This window comes from Homo sapiens, chromosome 17 (genome assembly GCF_000001405.40).
Source record: "Homo sapiens chromosome 17, GRCh38.p14 Primary Assembly".
Taxonomy (NCBI): domain Eukaryota; kingdom Metazoa; phylum Chordata; class Mammalia; order Primates; family Hominidae; genus Homo; species Homo sapiens.
This window is the reverse complement of record NC_000017.11, coordinates 2,024,072-2,045,444: the sequence shown is the minus strand read 5'-3', so window position 1 is coordinate 2,045,444 and position 21,373 is coordinate 2,024,072. Positions and strand designations below refer to the sequence as shown.

The 21,373-nt window shown below is 56.9% G+C and overlaps 3 protein-coding genes across 9 annotated transcripts in view, besides 8 other annotated features; 1 reads left to right on the top strand and 2 right to left on the bottom strand.

Moving 5' to 3' along the window:
- On the bottom strand, positions 1,547-15,333 carry DPH1 (diphthamide biosynthesis 1). Of its 7 annotated transcripts, none has more exons than NR_144476.2 (13): positions 15,215-15,292; positions 11,788-11,940; positions 11,603-11,666; positions 9,354-9,475; positions 8,759-8,916; positions 8,107-8,610; positions 5,622-5,690; positions 5,071-5,227; positions 4,840-4,940; positions 4,264-4,342; positions 3,824-3,964; positions 3,570-3,677; positions 1,547-2,840 (listed from the first exon to the last, which is right to left on the bottom strand). NR_144476.2 is itself a non-coding variant. In NM_001383.6 (13 exons), the coding sequence occupies exons 1-12, from the start codon at positions 15,273-15,275 to the stop codon at positions 3,588-3,590; spliced, it is 1,317 nt and encodes a 438-aa protein (NP_001374.4). In that variant the 5' UTR covers positions 15,276-15,292; the 3' UTR covers positions 1,547-2,840; positions 3,570-3,587. The 7 variants fall into 7 exon arrangements, 4 of the variants coding, with proteins under 4 accessions (NP_001374.4, NP_001333505.1, NP_001333503.1 ...); NR_144474.2 differs by having other exon boundaries at positions 5,622-6,046; positions 8,489-8,610; NR_144475.2 differs by having other exon boundaries at positions 5,622-6,046; positions 8,489-8,610; positions 8,792-8,916.
- On the bottom strand, positions 2,020-3,423 carry OVCA2 (OVCA2 serine hydrolase domain containing). The gene is made up of 2 exons (NM_080822.3): positions 3,214-3,423; positions 2,020-2,840 (listed from the first exon to the last, which is right to left on the bottom strand). The coding sequence occupies exons 1-2, from the start codon at positions 3,395-3,397 to the stop codon at positions 2,341-2,343; spliced, it is 684 nt and encodes a 227-aa protein (NP_543012.1). The 5' UTR covers positions 3,398-3,423; the 3' UTR covers positions 2,020-2,340.
- Positions 3,121-3,320: a silencer, noted in NCBI's record as "silent region_7968". NCBI's record gives its function as "represses an Ori minimal core promoter by ATAC-STARR-seq in GM12878 lymphoblastoid cells {active_cell/tissue: GM12878}" and the evidence as "EXISTENCE:reporter gene assay evidence [ECO:0000049][PMID:35858748]".
- Positions 3,511-3,570: an enhancer, noted in NCBI's record as "active region_11463". NCBI's record gives its function as "activates an Ori minimal core promoter by ATAC-STARR-seq in GM12878 lymphoblastoid cells {active_cell/tissue: GM12878}" and the evidence as "EXISTENCE:reporter gene assay evidence [ECO:0000049][PMID:35858748]".
- Positions 3,831-3,920: a silencer, noted in NCBI's record as "silent region_7967". NCBI's record gives its function as "represses an Ori minimal core promoter by ATAC-STARR-seq in GM12878 lymphoblastoid cells {active_cell/tissue: GM12878}" and the evidence as "EXISTENCE:reporter gene assay evidence [ECO:0000049][PMID:35858748]".
- Positions 10,973-11,152: an enhancer, noted in NCBI's record as "active region_11462". NCBI's record gives its function as "activates an Ori minimal core promoter by ATAC-STARR-seq in GM12878 lymphoblastoid cells {active_cell/tissue: GM12878}" and the evidence as "EXISTENCE:reporter gene assay evidence [ECO:0000049][PMID:35858748]".
- Positions 14,361-14,952: an enhancer, noted in NCBI's record as "H3K27ac-H3K4me1 hESC enhancer chr17:1933787-1934378 (GRCh37/hg19 assembly coordinates)". NCBI's record gives its function as "activates a minimal SCP1, AML or CMV promoter by ChIP-STARR-seq in primed H9 embryonic stem cells {active_cell/tissue: H9 hESC(primed)}" and the evidence as "EXISTENCE:reporter gene assay evidence [ECO:0000049][PMID:30033119]".
- Positions 14,953-15,544: an enhancer, noted in NCBI's record as "H3K27ac-H3K4me1 hESC enhancer chr17:1933195-1933786 (GRCh37/hg19 assembly coordinates)". NCBI's record gives its function as "activates a minimal SCP1, AML or CMV promoter by ChIP-STARR-seq in naive and primed H9 embryonic stem cells {active_cell/tissue: H9 hESC(naive and primed)}" and the evidence as "EXISTENCE:reporter gene assay evidence [ECO:0000049][PMID:30033119]".
- Positions 19,050-19,550: an enhancer, noted in NCBI's record as "H3K4me1 hESC enhancer chr17:1929189-1929689 (GRCh37/hg19 assembly coordinates)". NCBI's record gives its function as "activates a minimal SCP1, AML or CMV promoter by ChIP-STARR-seq in naive H9 embryonic stem cells {active_cell/tissue: H9 hESC(naive)}" and the evidence as "EXISTENCE:reporter gene assay evidence [ECO:0000049][PMID:30033119]".
- The window catches only part of RTN4RL1 (reticulon 4 receptor like 1), a 90,658-nt gene continuing 89,395 nt past the window's right edge, over positions 20,111-21,373 (top strand). The window contains exon 1 of the mRNA NM_178568.4: positions 20,111-20,592. Within this exon, the coding sequence (NP_848663.1) occupies positions 20,580-20,592 (13 nt within the window). The 5' untranslated portion in view covers positions 20,111-20,579. The remainder of the gene's footprint in view (positions 20,593-21,373) is intronic.
- Positions 20,719-21,264: an enhancer, noted in NCBI's record as "H3K27ac-H3K4me1 hESC enhancer chr17:1927475-1928020 (GRCh37/hg19 assembly coordinates)". NCBI's record gives its function as "activates a minimal SCP1, AML or CMV promoter by ChIP-STARR-seq in primed H9 embryonic stem cells {active_cell/tissue: H9 hESC(primed)}" and the evidence as "EXISTENCE:reporter gene assay evidence [ECO:0000049][PMID:30033119]".

Below are 21,373 nucleotides of genomic sequence, written 5' to 3'. Positions count from 1 at the left end.
TTCTCCTCCACCTACTACTGCTGGGCTCTACCTCCCCCACTTTTAATTTTAAGCCTTGGCTCAAAATTCACTCCCCAATATTTCTCCCCTTCTCTCTACTTTCGTCCTCAATAATCCCAAGCAGCTGGGGTGTACAAGTCGTTTTCACCTCTTGGGACCGTGCTAAAGGGGGCAGCCTATGATTACCATGAGGGTATGGGAGCCCTGAACTGCAAATCTATCATTTCCAGAGAAGCCAGAAATCTGAAATTTTCTGTGCAATTTCTGAAACTTTAAATCAGAATTTTTTCTAAAATTCAATGGGTCAGATACCACAGTCTGTGTAATCAATCCATTCCAAAGTCTCCTCCTTTTGCTAAAGGAGAAGATTCCTTAAAACAAGGCAGAAGCCAACTGAAGCAAGGGAGAACCACCTCCCACCCCTCCCCACACACACTTTCCACACCCAGTAACTAGGTCTCTGGGCGGATAATTCTGTTTTGTTTTGTTTTTTTTAATTTTGGACAGCTAATCTCTGTAGTGAGGAACCCAGAACTTTCGGTAATGTAAGGGATATTAGTCTGGTTGTCAGAAAAATGGGCTGGAGTATTTGTGCTGTGTCCCTGACCATAATTCCTGCTCAGTTGCTTAGCTCCCTGGCAACTATGTCTGAGGGCTAAACAGGAGTTGGTGTGATCTTCCAGAAAAAGAACAGGCTTCTTGTCTTGCAGAGGCAGGAAGTCAGAAAACAAGAGTGTGTGTGTGTGTGTCAGGGGGTGGGGGGTGTCAGGTGGCACTGGAAATGGGAGGGAACTCATTAAGAGTGGGCAATTGGCCAGGTGAGGTGGCTCACGCCTGTTAATTCCAGCACTTTGGGAGGCCAGGACAGGTGGATTGCTTGAGCTCGCAAGTTGGAGACCATCCGCACAACATGGTGAGACCCCTTCTCTACAACAAATACAAAAATTAGCCAGGCATGGTGATTTGCGCCTGCAGCCCCAGCTGCTTGGGAGGCTGAGGTGGGAGGATGGATGGCTTGAGCCCGGGAGGTGGAGGCTGTCAAGATTGTGCCACTGCACTCCAGCCTGGGTGATAGAGTCAGACCTTGTCTTTAAAAGTAAAGAAAACAAAAAAAGAGTGGGCAATCCTAGGTAGGTGCAGTGGCTCAGGCCTATAATCCTAGCACTTTGGGAGGCTGAGGCAGGTGGATTGTTTGAGCTAAAGAGTTTTGAGACCAGCCTGGGCAACGTGGCAAAACCCTATCTCTACAAAAAAATATAGAAATTAGCCAGGCGTGGTGGCGCATGCCTGTAACGCCACCTACTCAGGAGGCTGAGACAGAACTGCTTGAACCCAGGAGGCTGAGGTTGCAGTGAGCCAGGATCTTGGCCACTGCTCTCCAGCCTGGGTGACAGAGTGAGCCTGTCTCAAAAAAAAAAAAAAAAAGAGTGAGCAATCCTCAAAGTATCCAAGAACAACTACACGCCCCAAGGGGAAAACCAGCTGGATTGCTTAGGCCTTGGCTGTAGTCACTAAAGAATGGCATCAATCTCAGAAACCCTCAAGATGGGGTCAATTTAGGAAGAAGCTGTTTATTCTGTACTGTCTTTGGCCTCCACCTAAGGTCTGGCATCGACCCACCCTTCAGGCTCATAGTTCAGCGAGGTTAGAGCACTTAGGGAGAAGCAGGTAACACATCCAGGGTTTGAGAGAAGACCAGCACACAACTCTCAGTGATCTGGATAGAGGAAGACTAAATTACTGTGGTTCAGGCAGCCTTGCCAGGTGATGTCTTCCCAAAACTTCTCAGATGTATATTCCTCCCTGATTGTGCCACCTAGGCCTCCTTCCCTTCAGTTTGGGACTTAAAACTTCCACCAATAACGTGAGTATGTGCACCCATGCAGCAGCCTGTCCGAGGACTCACAACTGGAGACACCTCCCTGCTTGGCGCTGCCCAGAAAACTATGTAGATGGCCAAGAAACCGACTTCCATTATAAAATGTTTTTCTGTGTGTACCAGGAAAAAGATGCTCAAAATCCAAATCACCACTTTATTATGTGGCAGTCACCATGGTGCCAGCCTCTGCCTTCCCCATGTCACCCTCCTAATCCAGGGCTCTCCAACCATATTCATGTTTGCGTTTTCACAAGTCAATGTCCATTAAGGCCTTGTGCTCCCCTTTTCTTCAGTACAGGGCAGGGCCCTTATAATTTGGGTCTCAAGAATTGATAGTTGTCTCTTAACTGGTTCTGGTGAGGCGCACTCACAGCAGTGAGTGGAGGGTCCTGGGAGGGCATGGATGACGGAGGCTGCCCCTAGAGGAGCTGGATGTAGGAGCAGAGACATTTCTTGATCTTTCACTCTGCAAACTGGTCCAAGAACTTGAGGTAGGCCTGACGCTGGGGTGCAGCTGCTGGAATGAAGTGGCCACCAGAGTGGGTGAGGGTGATGGCTCCGGGAAATTGGCTGGCCAGTTGCACACTCTCCTGAGAGGGGATGACTTTGTCAGTGTCCCCAAAAACATGGAGCGAAGGCAATGACAAGGGCCTTTGCAGGATGGATTCCTTGAACCCAATGCCCCGGGGACAGAAACCAGACACCAAGAGGATAAACCGTGGCAAGGGGAAGCGGGGATCGCCTGCCTGGCCCAGGGCACACACAAGGGCTGCTAGCGCAGCCCCTTGGCTGAAACCAAGAAGGCCGTCAAAAGGCCCCAGCCTGTTCAGTGCCTGTGCCACCATCCCCAGTGATTCCTCCAGGCCCCTGCAGACGGCGGGCTCTTCCAATGCGGAGAAAACGTCGGCCTCCTGCTCTGAAAACCACCAGCCTCGAGGCTGCTCCTCCGGAGGGCAGGACCCTACAGCGATATGAGGAAAAAGGATGGGATTAGGGCATGGGAGGCTCCAGGAAGGAAAGAAATGAGAAAGGGCAGGAGGGTTCGAGATGACAGAGAGAAAAAGGGAATCGAGGCAAAAGTCTGGGGGAAATGAGAGGGGGGAAATGAGTGGATTGGCCTGAACAGGAGACAGCGGAGGAAGACGGTGAAGGCGGAAGCCTGGGAGGACAGGCTGCAGTTTGAGCAAAGAGGGTATGGGTCGCGAGAAATGAAGGGTGTGGACTGGGTGGGAGGAATGCGGGTGGACGCAGGGTGGGGGATGCTGAAGGGTGTCGAGGGGGACGAAACAAGATGGAGGAAACTGAGTGCGTTTCCGGAGCGGGGCTTGTCTCACCGAAGTCTGATCTGGCGCCCTCGGGGCCCGGGGGGTCGGGGACCGGGTGCGGGCCGCTGAGGCACACGAGCTCGGCGCGACCCCGCAGCGCCTTCCTCAGCGCCCCGGTCTTCTCACGGAAGCCCCGCTCGCTCTGCCGGAAGCCCGCCAGGCACAGGACCCGCAGGGGTCGCTGCGCGGCCATTATGCCCGGCAAGGAGCGACGGAAGCACCGGAAGCGGTCTTTCCCCGAGCGGAAGCACAATGCACGGGGCGGAACCGAACGTCAGCACCGCCCCGAGGGCGGGCCTCGGAGCGCCAAGGCGTTCCCATGACAACGGCAAAAGGCGGGGCGCACCCAGAGCGGGGGCTGATACCTGAGGCCCGGGAGCGCGTCAAGGAGCCAGCGGCGCCACCTTCTCGTCCCTGCAGCTGCAGTCCTCGCAAGCCACGGCCGAAGGGGGACGCGCGGACCCCTCCTGCACCTGAGGTCGCAGACTTTGGTTAGGGTCTCGCTCCTGCGACCCTGCGTTTCCCTCCGCTCCGCTCCTGTGCGTTTCCCGTCGCGGTCGCAGGGCGGCGGCCAGTGCCCAGGCGCGGTCTCTCCTCCCTCCTGGAAGCCCCCGCCTACCTTCCCCCGCGCGGGCCGGCCCGGGGCGTGGGGACGGCGGTCCTGGCCGTGGTTCACCGTCCAGGGCCCCAAGGAGCTGCCAGCGTAGAAGTCCATCGGGTAGGGCTGCTGCCAGGAAATGTCCCTCAGAGCCACGGCCGCCTAGGGGAGGGGAGGGAGGGACAATAACATCTGCCAGTGTTTTTCTGCCCCTGGATTACTGAATTCAGTCCTCACGACGGCCTGTGAAGGGCACACTGTCCCCTGCCACAGAAGGGAACTGTGTGGTTCAGGGCCTTGCCTAAGGCTACACAGCTAGGAAGTGACTCCGCTGGAGAAATCGAGACAGACTCCGGAATCTACGAACATAACGAAGTGCTGCCCACCCACCCCACTCCACTCCAGACCTCACCTTTGAGAACCACGTCCAAAGCCCACTCTCTCCCAGAGCTTGGTGTTACCTCATAGGGTGTCAGCAGCGGCTTGGGGAAGGCTGTGCCCCAGTCAATGGAGAGACGTGGACATGCCACCTGCACCCACCTGGGAAGGGAAGCCAGGTCAGACCCTAGGAAGGGCCTCCTCGTCGCCCAGGCAGCATGCTGAAGAACATGACAGTGCCCCCAGCACACCCATTCATTAACAGGCTTTATGAATCCTAAAGTAAAGACAGTGACCCACTGCTGTTTGGAATACTGTATTGTTGCGTGTTTTCTCCTGTTTCCTCTGCCGACAATGAGCTTTCCAGGGCAGCTCACTGGTGATAGTATCCCCAGAACCACATTTAGTACCTGGTACAGGGCAGGTGTCAGCCACCGCTCAAACTCATCTCACAAGGACAAATGTGATGTTGCCATTGCCTCTGAGCCCCAAAGTCCCAAAGCAGGTATGACCCAGTTAGCCCTCCCAGGGAGGTCTCTGTAAACAGTAAAATTCCATGACCATGGAAGCAATTCCTGTTGGCTCCAGCCTTCAAGACGAGCTGGGCAAGACCCAGCTTCTAAGCTTCTTTAGCCAGTCATAGCCAGGCAGATACTCACACATCCACCTCAGGAAGTAGGCTAAGCTTGCTGGGGAAGATCTCAGAGAGCAGCAGCCTCACAAAGGAAAGGCCCAAGGCTCGGAGTCGAGATTCCAGGTGCTGTTGGGAGAGGGAGGCAGGGTGGGGGTCACCTGGTCAAGCAGCCAAAGCTGAACCTGTGGCCTACTGGTTTTCCCAGCTGTGTTCCCAGTCACTTCCCTCCTCCAGAGGCTGTCCTGAGCCCACTGACCTCCAGGATCTTAGGACTGCCCTGGCGGCCCAAAGTGCCCAGAATAAGGCCCCAGGACTTAGCTGAGCGGGCAGTGGCTATGGCTTCTTGGCGAGCAGCCTGCATGCGCTGGTGGTCATAGTGTTCTCTGGATAGGACTTTGCTATATGGGTCATACCTGGAAAAGAAGCAGTCAGGGTCACTGTGGCAGCCACTGTCAGGACCAGTATTATGCACACAGCTCCTGACTCAGCCCCGTGGGCTCCTGAACCTTTAGGCCCCACGCAGGTAATTAAGAACAGAGGCAAGAGCGGGGACTGTCATTAGGAAGACCTGTCCCACAGCTGGAGCAGACAAGAGTGGGCGGCTTTAAGATCTCCGTGTAAACCCCAGGAGACGGGTAGGCAACAGCAGCCCTGGGGCTAATGCCCAGATCCAGGGCCCAAGTGCCTCAGACCCTTAGGGCTGGTGGCTTAGTGGCCAGGAAATGGGGATGCAACCAATTGAGGACCTCAGTGGCAGGGAATCTCACCCCTCACCAGCTGGTCAGCCCAGCCCGGCCCAGCCCATACCGGTAAGCGGGGACATTGGGGTTGGCAATCATGACAGACTCCAGATGGAAGCGGCCATCTCCAAGATACCTGCAGGGGTGGAAAGGAGGCTAAGTGTGGTTTAGGGCAGCAGAAGAGGCACTCGCTGGCTTAGAAGTCCACAGGGCTGGCCGGGCGCGGTGGCTCACGCCTGTAATCCCAGCACTTTGGGAGACCGAGGCGGGCGGATCATGAGGTCAGGAGATCGAGACCATCCTGGCTAACACAGTGAAACCCCGTCTCTACTAAAAATACAAAAACTTAGCTGGGTGTGGTGACGGGCGCCTGTAGTCCCAGCTACTCGGGAGGCTGAGGCAGGAGAATGGCGTGAACCCGGGAGGCGTAGCTTGCAGTGAGCTGAGATCGCGCCACTGCACTCCAGCCTGGGTGACAGAGTGAGACTCCGTCTCAAAAAGAAAAAAAAAAAAAAAGAAGTCCACAGGGCTGCCAGGTGCAGTGGCTCATGCCTGTAATCCCAACACTTTGGGAGGCCGAGGCGGGTGGATCACGAGGTCAGGAGATCAAGACCATCCTGGCTAACACGGTGAAACCCTGTCTCTACTAAAAATACAAAAACTTAGCTGGGCGTGGTGGCGGGCACCTGTAGTCCCAGCTACTGGGGAGGCTGAAGCAGGATAATCACTTGAACCCGGGAGGCAGAGGCTGCAGTGAGCCGAGATCGCACCTCTGCACTCCAGCCTGGGCGACAGAACAAGACTCTGTCTCAAAAAAAAAAAAAAGTCCAGAGGACTGAGTTCACAGCTGGCTGTGCTGTGCCTCTGTGTAAACTGGGACAAGCCTTCACTTCACCTCTTGGAGCCTTGGTTTTCTCACGTGTGAAATAAGGAGTTTGAATTGGATGACTCTACGGTCCCTCTATTTACATAATGCAGAATCTAAGAACCGTCCCACCCCAAGCTTCTGAGGAAGAGTGAAGGAGCAGCCGGCCGTGGTGAGGCCACCTGGGGTTCTAGAGATCCTCATTTGGAAGTTGGGGAACAGATTCTCCTTCACAAGCTCAATACAGATGTGGACAGTAGTGTTCAAGGAGTCATCTACGCCAGCAGTAACCAATATTTTTGGCACTGGGAACAGGTTTTGTGGAAGACACGGGTGGGATTGGGGGATGGTTTCAGGATGAAACTGTCTCACCTCAGATCATCAGGCATTAGGATCTCATAAAGATCATGCAACCTAGATCCCTCGCATGTACAGGTCACGATAGGGTTTGAGCTCCTACAAGAATCTAATGCCGCGGCGGATCTGACAGGAGGCGGAGCTCAGGTGGTCACGCTGGCTGGCCCACCCCTCACCTTCTACTGTGCGGCAGGTTTCCTAACAGGACATGGGACCAGGGGTTGGGGACCTCTGATCTATGCTGTACATGAGGTTGCAGGGCATACAATGGCTACTTTCTGCCCAAACTAGCTCTTGGGGCCAGTTACTGAGTTATAACAAAAGCTACCGGATTTTCATTTTGTTTTTTTGAGGCAGGGTCTTACTCTGTCACCCAGGTTGAGTGACTCGGTCATGGCTCGCTGCAGCCTCAACCTCCCAGGCTCAAGCGATCCTCTCACCTAAGCCTCCTGAGGAGCTGGGACTACAGGCATGGACACTGTACCCAGCTAATTCTTTTTTTTTTTTTTTTTTTTTTTTTTGGAGAGAACAGGGTTTCATTATATTCCCCAAGCTGGTCTCAAACTCCTGGACATATGCAATTCTCCTGCCTTGGCCTCCCAAAGTGTTGAGATTACAGGCGTGAGCCACTGTGCCCGGCCAACAGCTACTGTTTATTGGACTTGTGCCTTCTGTGTACCAGGCATAGACTAAGTACCTGCTGTGAATTAGTTCACGCAGTCCTATCTCCTAATCCTCCCAGATACGTATAGTATACCTGTTTTACAGAAGGTAACAACTGAGGCTCAGGGATGTTAAGAAACTCGCCTAGTATTAAACAGCTAGGAAGCAGTGTGTCTGAGGCTCAACCCAGGCTGTACCAAGTGTGCCCCCAGACATGCTGTCCCTGACAGTAGCTTCCCAGCCCATGAAGATTACAGAGCGTGGAAGATAACCTGCCTGTGGCAGCTCCTTCTCTCCCTCTTGGAGACCACACTTCATTCTGATGAATGGCTAACACTCAGGGTGTCCCTCCCTCCAACATACACTTTGAAGACCCCAAGGGTAGAGACTGAGTGACGTGGGCACAGGGGGAATGCCACTCAGTGCTGCTCGGGGAGCAGGGCTGCCAGATCTGGGCTGGGGAAGGCCCTGATGTGGGCCTGTCTAGGGACAGGGGTGTCAGGCCTGTGGAAACAGCCTCCAAAGCCCCAGAGGTGGGACTGAGTCAGGGAGCGACCCTCCCTCCCTGCCATTAGTACGGAACGGGACTCCCTTCCCTAGTCCCAGTCGGGGGAGCCGTCGGCTCTCAGGCTGGCTGCATTCACACAACATTAAGCATTTCCATTACCTAAAATAATTAGGCGGCAGGAGACACGCTGCTTCTGCTTGTTAGCTGTCCGGATGGTAAATTAATGGGGCTGCAGCCTGGGCGTGCCCATCCATCTTCTCCAATTATATTCCCACCATTTCCAGCCCACCCTCAACCCCCATCAGGCCCTCTGATTCCTGCCCCCACCCTGCACAGCCTTCTGGATGATGGACTGGGCAGTGGAGAAAGCGACAGTAAACCTGAGGTCTGCTCCCTGTTTGGTCCCTACCTTGCAGTGTGACCTCGGGCTCACAGGTAAGGAGCATTAGATTTGGTTTCTTTCCTGGATGATGAACCTCAGGCTCCCTCCCAGGGTACACGCATGTCTCTAGGACTTACTTGGCCCCCATTTTTAACTTACACAACGGCCTCCACCTCTTTGGACAGTCGGGGGGATGTGCAGCCCAGGATCTCTCCAGGGGACAGGGGCTTGCACTGTGGGACACTCACACGATACTCGGCTTTCAGCTCCTGGGCGGCTGCCTGTAGGAATGACGAGGGAAGTGAAGCCAGCGGCTGGGGCAGGAGAGCCAGGGCTGAGAAACAGCCTGGAGCACCTGGGGATCCCGCAACAGCTGGAGAGTGGCCGCTGTCCACCCTGCAGGAGGCCGAGGATCCTCGTTCCACCCACCTGCAAGGTCGACACAAACTGAATGGTGCTGACCAGGGCAAGGGCAGTGGCTGGGGGAAAGGTGAGGCGGAGAGAGTCCAGGAGGTGTGTAGTGTCTATCCGGATGTCCACAAAGACGTACAGCACCCGGAAGTCTTGGGCCGAGGTGTCCATGGGAACTGTGGGAGGGAGGAGTTCAGGGGCTGTTTGGGAAGGCAGGAGCAGCAGAGGGCCCGGCCAGGCTCAGGTCTCTGAGCAGCCAGGCGCAGTGGCTTCAGCCTGGGGGTAAAAGGACAGGGTAGGAGAAGAGGGGGGTCACAGATCCCCTAGAAGCTCCTTCTCAATCAGACTTCTCTGTCACCCGGCCGGGGCCCAGCCTGCTCTACAACCAACAGCCTTTCAAACACCTGCATCTGGGACAGAGCACCGTTGCCAAGGCAACCAAATCCAAAGGAAAGATCTACCTGCAGAGCGGGAAGGCAGAGGCCACCCCAGAAACCAGGAGGGACCTTGTGTCTCCAAGCAGGACAAGAAGGCACTGCCATGGGGAAGATGAATGTGCAGCCTGCCTCCCTGCCAGCCCCGCCACCGTCCAGGTGTCCTGGCCCCACCATACTCAGGCAACTGTGGCCGTAGTGCACCAAGAAGTCAGCTCCCAGGGCCCTCGCTGTGAAGTCATCCACACAGCAAGCCCCGTAGGTCACGTCACCCATCACCATCACTTCGGCCTCCGTGAACCTGCGGGCACAGGGGCGGGGAACGGTGGGACAGGGACACAGGGACTGAGGTAGGAGAGACCCAACCCTGGGAGGGTGTCTCAGGGCCCAGCTCCTCTCTCCCTACCTCTCCCAGTTCCTCGGGATGGCAGCTGCCACTTCTGCCAACAAAGATTAGGAGGGGCACAGCTGCCGCCTGCCCCAGCCTGGCAGCCGCTCCTGGAACTGTTGCTGCGTGAGGACCCTCATTCCTCTACCCAGGCTCAGGCTGCAGGAGGGACCCCAACCCTCACTCCGGCACACGTGGGGTCAAAACACAGACGCCCCATGCCCTGACTCACCCACCCAGAGCCGTGAGCACGCACACACACCCAAAGGTCCTCACTCCCGCGCTGAGTGCTGTGGTGGGCATGGGCGTGGCTGTATGAATACACACAGCCTCCCTCTTGCCGGGACCCCCACTCCCTCCCCACCACAGGCAGGGCCCCCACCCCCTCCCCACCACAGGCAGGGCCCCCTCACCCGGACCCCCACTACCTCCCCACCACAGGCAGGGCCCTCTCGTCCGGACCCCCACTACCTCCCCACCGCAGGCAGGGCCCTTGGTGCCCAGGATGGGGGGACCCAGGCACAGCTCCCCCATAGCACATGGCACCACCTACACGCCTCCTGCATCAGGAAGAGGAGGCTCTGGCCAGAACACTGCCGTGGGAACTGCTGCCAGGCCTGAATCACTGGGGGAGGGGGTGGGTGGGGAAGACCTTGTACCCCTGAACTCACCCTAGGAATGGAGGAGAACCCCCTCTTCCTTGAAAGAGACTCACACTTGGGGCGTGGAGCCTGGCTCAGTGACTGGGGTCCCCCCATCCTTCCCCTGGGGGTGTGGCAGTGGAAGAGTTGAGCTCCTGCTAGTCACCCCCTCCTCCACCCCCTTCCCCAAATCAGGCTGTGCCCAGAAGCAGATTATTCACCTCCTTAGAATGCAGCCCAGGCGTCTAAGTCAGCCACAGCACTTAATTTTTTATAGATTAAAATGTATGCAAATTGGCCTGAGCCCCAGAGAGCATCCCCAAGGGGCAAGACGGTGGGAGCAGGGAAGTGAGTCTGTGGCAACAAGATGGGGCAGCAGGGGAGGGAGGGCAGCAGCAGGGGAGGGGGATGGGGCAGCAGCAGGGGAGGGGGATGGGGCAGCAGGGGAGTGGGGGAGGAGGGGAGGGGGCAGCAGGGGAGGGGGGAGCAGGGGAGGGGGAAGGGGGAGTAGGGGAGGGGAATGGGGCAGCAGGGGAGGGGATGGGGAAACTGGGGAGGGGGATGGGGAGCAGGGGAGGGGAGGGGGAGCAGGGGAGGGGGAAGGGGAGGGGAGAGAGGGGGAGCAGGGGAGGGGAAGGGGGGAGAAGAGAGGTTTGGGGGAGCAGGGGAGGGAGGGTGGCAGCAGGGGAGGGGGATGGGGCAGCAGGGGATGGGGGAGCAGGGGAGGGGGATGGGGGAGAAGGGGAGGGGGAGGGAGGAGCAGGGGAGGGCGATGGGGCAGCAGGGGAGTGGGAGGTTCCCAGCATGAGATGACCTCCCCTTTCTTCGTTCCCCTCCCCTGTTCCTGTGCTGGTTCCAGATGGCTGAGCTCTCACCCTCCCCACCAAGGATGGCTCATTGTATTGCAGAAACTTAGAGTGACAGGGGTAGGATGTAGAGGAACTGAATACCTTCTCCCAGGCACCTCCCACTCCAAACCCATCCTTGCCCTACTTCCCCAAATGTGCCCGAGGAACAGGTGCCCCCCACCGCCCCCGACCGGCAGACCTCCCACTGATCACTCAGCGCATTTCAGGGGCAGCTTGGAGAATTCTTAGGGTCCTCCCCAGGTCCTACCACCTGCTCTGGGTCTAGCTTTGAAGACACTGGGATTGATTTCTTTCTCTGTCCCAAATGTTTAGGGGAGGGGGGATTTGCAGGGACAAGCAGGGCTCTCAGCAAGCTGGGAGATTTGTTTTGGGTTTTCCCTGAGTGTGTGTATGGTTGTGGGAGGGAAAGGGGGAAGGTGGAGGTTCAGAAGGAAAAAATGCCCGCCACCAGGGCTTTACCCACCCGGGTAATGAGCATAGGGGGTGGGGGAAGCCTGGCTCACCCTCCTCTCCAGTGCCCCAAGCCTCACCTTTCCAAGATATCCACAATGGTACAGGCAAAGAGGAGGAGGCCTTCCGGCATTTGCAAGGCCACTGCAAGACGAGCAGAGACATGAGAGGTGGAGGGCTAGGAAGGGGCTGCAAGGGGGACACTGTCCCATCTGGGCCAGGCAACCTCTCCACCCCAACCCCAGCTCAATGATCACAGGCTCACCCTTCTTGGCCTGGGCTTGTTGGATCCTCCAGATGGTCTTGGGGATCTCAAAGTTGTAGTTGGAAGGCAGGACCCGGATTGCTGCCTGCAGCTGAGGGTTCTTCAGGATCTCAGGGGGGATCTGATTGGCCACGCGGCCCCGAGGGGCCCGACCTAGAATGGATATAAGGCCTGAGTTGGTGTCTGTCTTTGGCTGAAGCCAGATTGAGATGGAATAGGGATCCCTTTTCAGGGCCTGCCGGTGCCCCCGCTCAAGCATAGAAATAAAAATTTTGAGTCATCTCAAGAAAAATCCCAGGCATCTTAGCTAGCCCTACAACCAGCAATTAGGGAATTAAATAACTTGCTAAACAAGAAGATAATAAACAACAGTCACCCAAGTCAGAGTCACGAGATGCCTGGTTCCCTATAGAAACTACACATAACACCTTGACATATATCCCTAAGTTGTTTTTCAGAAACCAGGACACCCACCCCCCCACCAGGTGAAAAATGCCAACTAATTGCTGTCATGTAAGACCTCAGACAGACTGAAGCCAGAAAATAGGTAAGAAAGTTCCAGAAATTCCCCAGCCCTTAATTCACTTTAAAGATCCCCAGAAGCCCAGCCTTTAAAAACCCTCTGCAGCCGGGCGCAGTGGCTCACGCCTGTAATCCCAGCACTTTGGGAGGCTGAGGCGGGCGGATCACGAGATCAGGAGATCGAGACCATCCTGGCTAACACGGGGAAATACTACTCTCTACTAAAAATACAAAAAATTAGCCGGGCCTGGTGGCAGGCACCTGTAGTCCCAGCTAAGGCAGGAGAATGGGGTGAACCCGGGAGGCGGAGCTTGCAGTGAGCCGAGATCACGCCGCTGCACTCCAGCCTGGGCAACAGAGCGAGACACCATCTCAAAAATAAATAAATAAATAAAATAAAAACCCTTTGCTTGTAAGCCATCAGGAAGTTTAGGTCTTAAGCTTTAGCTGCCCAGTCTCCCTGCTTGGTGCCTTACAATAAATGCTTGTTCTCTCCCTGCAAATCTCCATGTCAGTGTTTGGCTTTTGCTTTGTGTGGATGGGAAGACCCAAGTTGAGTTTGGTAACAAGACCCAGCTAAGCTGTTAACTCCACCAAGTTTAAGGGCCAGATCCAGACACCAAGGGGGTTGGCCCAGCTTTCGTTCTCACTGAATTCATCCTGAAGGTAGAGACAATTCATTAAGCCAGAAGGTAACCGGTATAATTTCCATGTTGTGAAATCACTGGGAATCGAAGACTTGAGCCCATGAATAGAATATGGCTCACCTTCTTCCTCAGGAGAACAGAGGTGACACCAGGGGCTAAGGGGCAAAGAATGAGTCTGAGTCCATATACTGCTCCCTGATAGAGAACAGCCCTGCGGAAAACCTAAGAGTCAGTCTAGCCAGCCCAGCCAGCCTGGGAGAATGTCCCCCCTCTCCCACCTCCTGAGGACACCTTGAAGTTTTGAGCTTCTAGATATGAGGTCTATAAGCAAACCGTTAAACATGAATACTAACTTAAAAGACTGCCCTCCTGACTCAGAACCCCACTGACTGTGGCCACACTGTTCGTTCTTTCACGCTTACCTCTCCTCATTTAAAAGGGAAATAAACATCATACATTTAACTGACTTAGCTGTCCCATTGCTCCTCCTTACTCTTAAACCAGGAAGGATGGAAAGAACACTTGAGTCAGGGTGGTGGACGTACCAGTAAGGACAGAAAAGTGACCTTGTCCCTTAGAGACCAGCAGTCTAGTGGGGGAAAAGACAGGTATACACATAATTACAACTCCTGGAGTAAAGGGGAAACCGTAGCCCTTAGCAAACTGCAACTCTTACTCTGGTCTCATCCTACTCCTAAGTAGGATAAAAAATAATAAGCTGAATAAACAATTCATCTTATTATTTTTTAAGGCAGGGTCTCACTCCATCACCCAGGCTGGAGTGCAGGGGTGCAATCATGGTCCACTGCGGCCTCGACGTCCTGGGCTCAAACGATAATCCTCCCACCTCAGCCTCCCCAGTAGCTAGGACCACAGGCATGTGCCAAGACGCAGGGCTAATTTTTTTTTTTTTTTTTTTTTTTGAGACAGAGTCTCACTCTGTCTGTTGGCCAGGCTGGAGTGCAGTGGTGCAATCTCGGCTCACTGCAACCTCAGCCTCTCGGACTCAAGCAATTCTCCTGCCTCAGCCTCCCGAGTAGCTGGGATTACAGGCGTGTGCTACCACACGCGGCTAATTTTTGTATTTTTAGTAGAGACAGGGTTTCCACCATGTTGGCCAGGCTGGTCTCAAACTCCTGACCTCAGGTAATCCGCCCGCCTCAGCCTCCCAGAGTGCTGGGATTACAGGTGTAAGCCACCGTGCCCGGCCACGCACGGCTATTTTTTATTTTTTTGTGCATACAGGGTCCCCCTATGTTTCCCAGACTGGTGTGGAATTCCTGGGCTCACACAATCCTCCTTAGCCTCCCAAAGTGCTCAGACTAAAGGTGTAAGCCACTATGCCCTGCCCCGACAATTAAGCTTAGTTCAACCCCGTTATCTCTTCAGGAGCCACAGAGTCTGAGGATATGAAAAGGCAAGAAATTAACTTATTCAACGAATATGTATTGAGACTGTGCTATGTGCCACAACTTCTGCTAGGGCCCCACACTATGATAGGAGGGACCCGCCCAGACATGAGGCTTCACCCACTGTGTGGGCGGCGGTGGGGATGGTCCAGCGGAGGCTGGGGCCCTGAGATCAGATTTGAACGTTACCACTGCTATGGTTTTTGGCCAGTTGTTTCAAAAGCCTTGGACAATCAGCCTAGGCTTCCTAGGCCCATTACAGATCCTCCTCTGACAGGTCCCTAGTGGTCGCTGGCGTGTAAGGAACTGCTAACATTAGCCCTTCAATGTGTCCCAGGGACCAGTAGGCACCTCCTCCTTTATCACGTGGCTATGATATGTTTACATTAACATTCCCCCAGTAGACTGAGATCTCTGATTCTAGTACCTGCACCCAGCGCAGGCCTGGCATTCGGTGGGCGCTCAGTTAATGCCTGGCGAATGAAACCTTTTGCCTCTTCCCTGAAAGCATTCCCTGAGGGCGCACTCGTAAAATGCCCGCTGCATCTGGCCTGGCCCTTTCCCTCCCCGTCGAGTCCATTTTATCCGTCTACCCGCCAAGACAAGGCTGTAGTTTCCGATTGGAGGATTAAGGGCTGCTCTCGGTCGTGCCCTAAAGCTGCAAAAGACTGGTACCCCTGGGCTCCGGCTGACAGCGACCCCGAGCTGGTGACAGCGGCCCAAGGCGACTAACAGCGGGATCTAGCGGAGAAAGGCGCCGCCGCCGTTAAAGGGGGTTGGTCCTGTCCCTAACTTGGGGGCCCCGCCCCGAGATGCGAGGTCTGGAGGGCGCAGCGTTCCAGCACCCACCTCTGCCAGGGCCGTCTCGGCCGCCCTGCTCCGCTGCCCCGGATACGACCAGCGCCGCCATCACCTGCCTGCGCATGTGGTACTAAAAAGACAGCGCTGGAAGAACGCGGAGAGCGCAGACATTGCGATCGATCGCCGATCGGCCAGCGGGGGCGGGGGATACCCGCTGGGCGGGGCCATAAAGGAGGAGATAGGGGCGGGGCTGTAGTGGGCTCCACCCCAGCCCAGAATGCCGGGACTCAGGATTCCCTAGAGGTCCCCGACTATGCAGTTGCCCTTGCCCTGCGACTTAGTCTCCCACTCCTCTCCCCGGCCGGGCACGAGCCTGGCACTCCCGGACCGGTGCTCTCCTATGTGCGAACTCCCTGCACGAACTCTGCAGGCCGAGTCTTGTGAAGGGGACACCCACCAGATGTTCCTTGAGCCCCCCCTGCCAGTCTCCCCTCCTGGTAAGCAGTGGTCGGTCACCCGGCCGCCGTGTGGGGCCACGTTCCCTACCTAGGGGGACTCTACTGTCCGGCAGGACAGAACTCAGGGACCACCAGCCCAGCTCCAAGTTGAGAGTCTTGGTGCAGGTTTGTGGATCGCCCTTATCAGCTTTTTAAATTATTTTTTTTGAGACAGGGTCTTGGTCTGTCGCCCAGGCTGGAGTGCAGTGGTGCGATCATGGTTCACAGCAGTCTCAACCTTCTGGGCTCAATTCATCTTCCTGCCTCAGCCCCCTGAGTACCCGGGACCACAGGCGTACGTTCAGCTAATTTTTTTTTTTTTTTTTTTTTTTTTTTTTAGTAGAGATAAGGTTTCACTATTTTGCTCAGGCTGGTCTTGAACCTCTGGACTCAAGCAATCCTCCCACTTTGGCCTCCCAAAGTGCTGGGATTACAGGCGCGAGCCACTGCACCCAGCCTTTATCACCTTTAGAATCCACTGCGTAGACCCTGTAGAAACTGCCCCTCTGGGGAAGGCCCACAGCCTGAGGGTGCTTTCCTGGGAAGGTGGGCAGTGGAGGACTGTGATGTCTAACCCTTCTGGACCCTGGCCAACCTTTGCCCTGCCCCTCAGGGCTGGTCTTTCTCCTGATCACTGGCCAGAGCCCCAGAGACCCCAAAGAGAAGACAGCCAGTGAGACGGCTTTGACCTGTGGAAGAGCAAAGTACCTGCAGGACTGGCCCTCAGCAGTCTGTCCCGTGGAACAATGGTCTTCCAGGTCTGACGGTCTACCCAGCCCCCTGGCATCCTCCTCCTCTCTCTGCGGTGGTGCTGTGATCACAGCTGGCCCTTTAAGTCAGCTCTGTGTCCTCGGGCTCCCCCAGAGGCCCTCCCTGCTTGGAAACCCCTAATTAAGGTGCAGGGAGAAGTAAAAACAAGCAGCCAGAGACAGGCCCTGCCTGGGAGGCTGCCCAGAGAGGAGGAATGGCTGGACAGGCAGGGAGTGAGCAGCTGAGGGACCATCACCAAGGGTCAGTGCTGTGCCCCCCAGGCCACCGGCACTCTTAGGACAGGTAGCTCTAGACAGAAAAGTGACCAATGTGGGTCCCAGGAACACTCCCCTCAACTCGATAAGCGTCCGGACTAGACCTTCCCATCTCCCCCCAGCTTCTCTGGATCCCCAGGGTGCAAGATCTGAATTCTGGGAGCTCAGCCCCTCCTCTCTCAGGACACTGCTGCCCAGCCTGTGGACAGCCTTAGCTGTGACTGCAGCATGGAGTTTCAAGGGGAAAGGACTGGCTCCAACTGAGCAATGGCTTCTCCCTAGCAGGCGCCATATCCCTTGGGACCTTTCCCTCATCAGAGGTGGGGCCTGTTTGATGGCAAAAGTCCCATCCCTCTAGTAACATTGCCCCGCACCCGCTGTGCCTAATGAGCTGCTCTGGCCCCCATTAGGAAGCCGGATGATGCCTAGGAGAACTGGACATGAAGAACAGATGTGAGAATGCTTCCCCAAGACTCCGTGGTGCAGGACATTGGGGGCTGCCATTCAGCTTGGGCTGAGGGCACCTCCATCTGTCTGTGGGGGTCTCCCTGCCTGAGTTACTCAGCAGTCTGAGTAATTACTGCCTGACAAGAAGGCGGGCACAGTGCACCCCCACAGTACACCACAACACCCGCCTTCACTCGCCCCCACTCCCTGGCTGGACTCCAAGGCAGCACCCAACCCTCCTGAGGCCTGAAATAACTCTGCTTCTCACACTCACGCCCAGCCCCAGCCAACTTTTCCTAAGACGCTAGAGTTTGTGGGCTAGGGGGTCATGGGGAGGCGGCTTGGAGAGGTGGAAGGAGGATTATCCCACATTCAGGCCCTGAGTCAGGCCCACACTTTATCGCTGATCTGTGATGTGACGTTGAGCAAGTTGTTCATCCTCTCTGGGCCTCGGTGTACTTACAGAGGACCTCTCAGGCTCCCAGTGTCAGGGCTAAGGCAGGCAGTGGGGTGAGCACTGCCTTGTAGCTGGTGGCTAAGAGAAGGAATACCTCACCTTCTGTTCTACGCCAAGAGGGACCAATCTTTTTTTGTTCGTGTTTAACTGCTCCTGTGGCCATGGGCAGTGTGCCCAGAGTAGCAGCCATCCATCTTTTTTTATCTTTAAACATTTTTTTGAAATAGAGATGGAGTCTCACACTGTTGCCCAGGCTGGTCTCAAACTCCTGGCCTCAAGCAATCCTCCCACCCCAGCCTTCCAAAGTGGTGAGATTATAGGTGTGAGCCCATGGTCCTCAGGAAGGACCAATCTTATCTATCTTCAGAACAAGGTTACTTCTCACCTTCAAGCATCTACGTGGAATGCCCTTCCCCCTTCTTAGTGTGGTGAACTCAGCCTTCAAGACCTAACTCCAAGGGCACCTCTTCTGTGACTGTTTCCTGATTATCTGGTAGCCCCTGGCAGAGCTAGCAGAGCCCTTTCGCAGTCTTTGTGACTTCTGTCAGTCACACTCTAAGATGGTTTGCGGGTCTTTCTTTTCCCACGACACCTGAAGCTTCTGGAAGTCCAAGCCCAGAGCCTTAGCTCAAATCTGAAGCTTCAGTGCCACCAAATGCAGGTGTGAGTGAATACGTCAGACTGGCCTTCTTTTTTTTTGTTTGTTTTGTTTTTTTGAGACAGTCTCGCTCTGTCACCCAGGCAGGAGTGCAGTGGTGTGATCTCGGCTCATTGCAATCTCCATCTCCTGTGTTCAAGAGATTCTCCCGTAGCCTCCCAAGTAGCTGGGATTACAGGCGCACACCACCACGCTCGGCTAATTTTTGTATTTTTAATAGAGACGGGGTTTCACCTTGGCCAGGCTGGTCTCGAACTCCTGACCTCAAGTGATCTGCTCAGCCTCCCAAAGTGCTGGGATTACAGGTGTGAGCCACCGCGCCCAGCCTGGCCCTTTTTTTTTTTTTTTTTTTGAGACAGAGTCTCACTCTGTCACCCAGGCTGGAGTGCAGTGGCGCGATCTCGGCTCACTGCAACCTCCGCCTCCCGGGTTCAAGCGAGTCTCCTGCCTCAGCCTCCCGAGTACCTGGGATTACAGGCGCCTGCCACCATGCCCGGCTAATTTTTGTATTTTTATTAGAGACCGGGTTTCACCATGCGGGCCAGGGTGGTCTCGAACTCCTGACCTCGTGATCTGCCTGCCTCCGCCTCCCAAAGTGCTAGGATTACAGGCGTGAGCCACCGCGCCCGGCCCTGACCTTCTTTTTGACCTTCCTATCATGTCACCTTTTCCTACAAGGAGGGATTCAGTTGGATTTCTGCTTGGATGTCACCTGCTCAGAGCAGCTTTCCTTGACTGCCACCTCTACCCCCGTGTCAGCTCCAGAACAATACTCTGCTTGTTTTTCTTCGAAGCACAATCTTCCCATCTTCTCTGGACTTTCCTCATTTGGCCCCTATTAAAATGGAAACTCCTTGAGGACAGGGCAAAGACAAGTCTTTTTCGTCTGCTGAATTTTCAGGAACAGTAGTGCCCCACACATGCTGAGCCTTCGGTGAATGTGTGTTGAATGACAGCCTTGGTCCATCCGCTTTTTCTTCTCTCCGAATCCCTCTGATCCCAGGCCAGCAGGGGGTGCCGCCTCCACCCAGGATCTCGCCTGGCCCGAACCTTCTCTTCCCTCAGCTCAACAGGCCCCTGCGGGACCCGCTTTCCAAGCGGCGCCTCCTCCATTTTCCGCGAACCCCCCGGCGGGGTCTGTGTGGACCAAGGGAGATCAGAGACCCCCCGCCGCCACCCCACCCAGGCGGAGACGGCCCACCCGAACCCGCACGGGTCCTTCCTTCTCCCTGGAATTTGCAGCTGGCCCTTTCCGAATGCTTGCTCCCCTCCTCTCCCCACGAAAGAACAGTGTCCTGGGACTCGGGGTGCGGGGCAGCCGGGTTCGCTGGAGCTGTTCAGTGCGGGGAAGAGCCGTCGAGACTGGGAGAAGGGGCGCTGGCCAGGGAGGAGACGGGGCAGGGAGCGGACTCGCGATCCGTACTCTGGGCGGCGGTCCTCGCGTCCCAGCCGCGTCTCCCGATGACCTCCAGCCGCGAAGGGCGAGCGGGCGGGGGCTGGGCTGCGGGTTCGGGCTCCAGGAGGCCTGCGGGGCCGGGGAGGGGCGTGGAGTGGTCCGAGGACCGGCTTGGGGACTGGGGGCAGGTGCCTGGACGGACGCGGGCCGAGCATCTTCCCCGGGGGCGGGCGCAGTGAAAACACCTTGGGAGGCGGCGCCGCGCGGCTGAGCGCTGCTGCCTTGGGAATAGGACGGCGCTCGGCACTGCGAGCTGAGAGCACTTTCATAAATTTTGTATGGGAGGCGCTCCGTGAGCGGGGGCGGGGAGCGGAGCGAGAGGGAGGGAGCTAGAGAGCAAGGGAGGGAGGGAGGAGGAGAGGAGGGGGAAGCCGGGGGGAGGAAGGGAGGCGCCCCGCTCCGCCGATCGCTCGGTCCTGCAAACGCGCGCCGGGCGCTTTCCCCGGAGCTCGGCGGTGCGTGCGAGCGCCCTTTTGCTGCAGCCGCGGCGGCGGTGGTCCGAGGGGGCGGAGAGGAGGGGGCTGCGGCCGGCCGGCCAGGGGGCGGCGTCCCCCCTCAAAACCGCCTGCGAAGTGCTCCGGGTGGCAGAAGCAGGCCGCCGGCTCCGCGGAGCAAGCCGCTCGCCCCGGGGCTGAGCAAGCGCGCGGGGCTGCCGGGCAGCACCACGGTTGCTTGCGGGCGCCGGTGCCCTCGGCGCGGGGCTGGAGCTCACCATGCCCCTGCGGGGCCGGGCCACCGGGCACGAGCGGATCCCCGGCTTGCCCCCGCCTCGACGCGCTCGGATTAGCTGCAGCTGGCGCCCAGGGATTTGAATCTGGACCCCGGGAGGGAGTGCGCCTAGGCCGACCTCGGAGCGGCGGCCCCGTGGCCAACATGCTTCGCAAAGGTGAGTTGGAGCCGCAGGGGCAAGTTGAAGTTGAATGCGCTCCGGAAAGAGCCGCGAGCCCGGGCGCCGCCCGGCGCCGGGGCTCCCGGTCTGGGAAGTAGCCCCCGGCGGGCTGGTGGGTTTTGCCGGGCGCACCCGCCGAGGGGCTGCTGCTGGGGCTCAGCTCCCGTCAGCGGCCAGTTGTGAGACACGGGGTTTTCTCCATGGATCGAGTGGCCAGGCCTAGAGATCCGGCCCGGAGGGGTCAGTCGGAGACCAGAGTGAGCGGCCGGTGGTGGAAGGGGAGCCGGCCTCCTGGGACCTTTGCTTTGCTGGGATAAAGTTTTGCACTTGCAGCCTCCATTCCCTGCGCGGGCACACGCCCTTGCTTCTGCCGCTTTGTGGAGGCCGAGTCCGCACGGCGCCCCCGTGCAGCCAGCGGTCAGTGACCGCGCGGCCCGGGCGCTCCCCGCGCGCCCTAGCTCCCCAGACGGGGCCCGGACGCGGACGTCTTCTCTGCAGTTCTGCTCTGATCGCTAGGGATGGGCTCTGGGCACCCAGCGGCTGAGGGTGGGGAGCGGCCAGCGCCTGATGTCCAGTTCCTCAAACTTTCATTATGCTGGGAGCGGAGGGACGCGAAAGCCGTGCCGCCAGTGTGCGCGACCGGTGCACAGCTCAACTTGAGGACAGCTGGCTTCGCGACCACCGTAGCTAGACGCCCCAGCAGCCCGGCCCGGTACGGAGCGCGGCAAAGTTGGTGCGGGCACCGGGGAAGTCCCGCCGCGCCCCCACGTGGTTGCCA

What these genes read in the sequence shown, in the direction of transcription:
- OVCA2 (NM_080822.3), bottom strand. Translation starts at nt 3,397, where the DNA reads ATGGCCGCGCAGCGACCCCTGCGGGTCCTGTGCCTGGCGGGCTTCCGG. An exon ending in GGGCGCCAGATCAGACTTCG is followed by an intron (nt 2,841 to 3,213) that starts GTGAGACAAGCC and finishes ATATCGCTGTAG; the next exon opens with GGTCCTGCCCTCCGGAGGAG.
- DPH1 (NM_001383.6), bottom strand. Translation starts at nt 15,275, where the DNA reads ATGGCGGCGCTGGTCGTATCCGGGGCAGCGGAGCAGGGCGGCCGAGAC. An exon ending in CCGAGACGGCCCTGGCAGAG is followed by an intron (nt 11,941 to 15,214) that starts GTGGGTGCTGGA and finishes TATCCATTCTAG; the next exon opens with GTCGGGCCCCTCGGGGCCGC. An exon ending in ATTGTGGATATCTTGGAAAG is followed by an intron (nt 9,476 to 11,602) that starts GTGAGGCTTGGG and finishes CTGTGCCCGCAG; the next exon opens with GTTCACGGAGGCCGAAGTGA.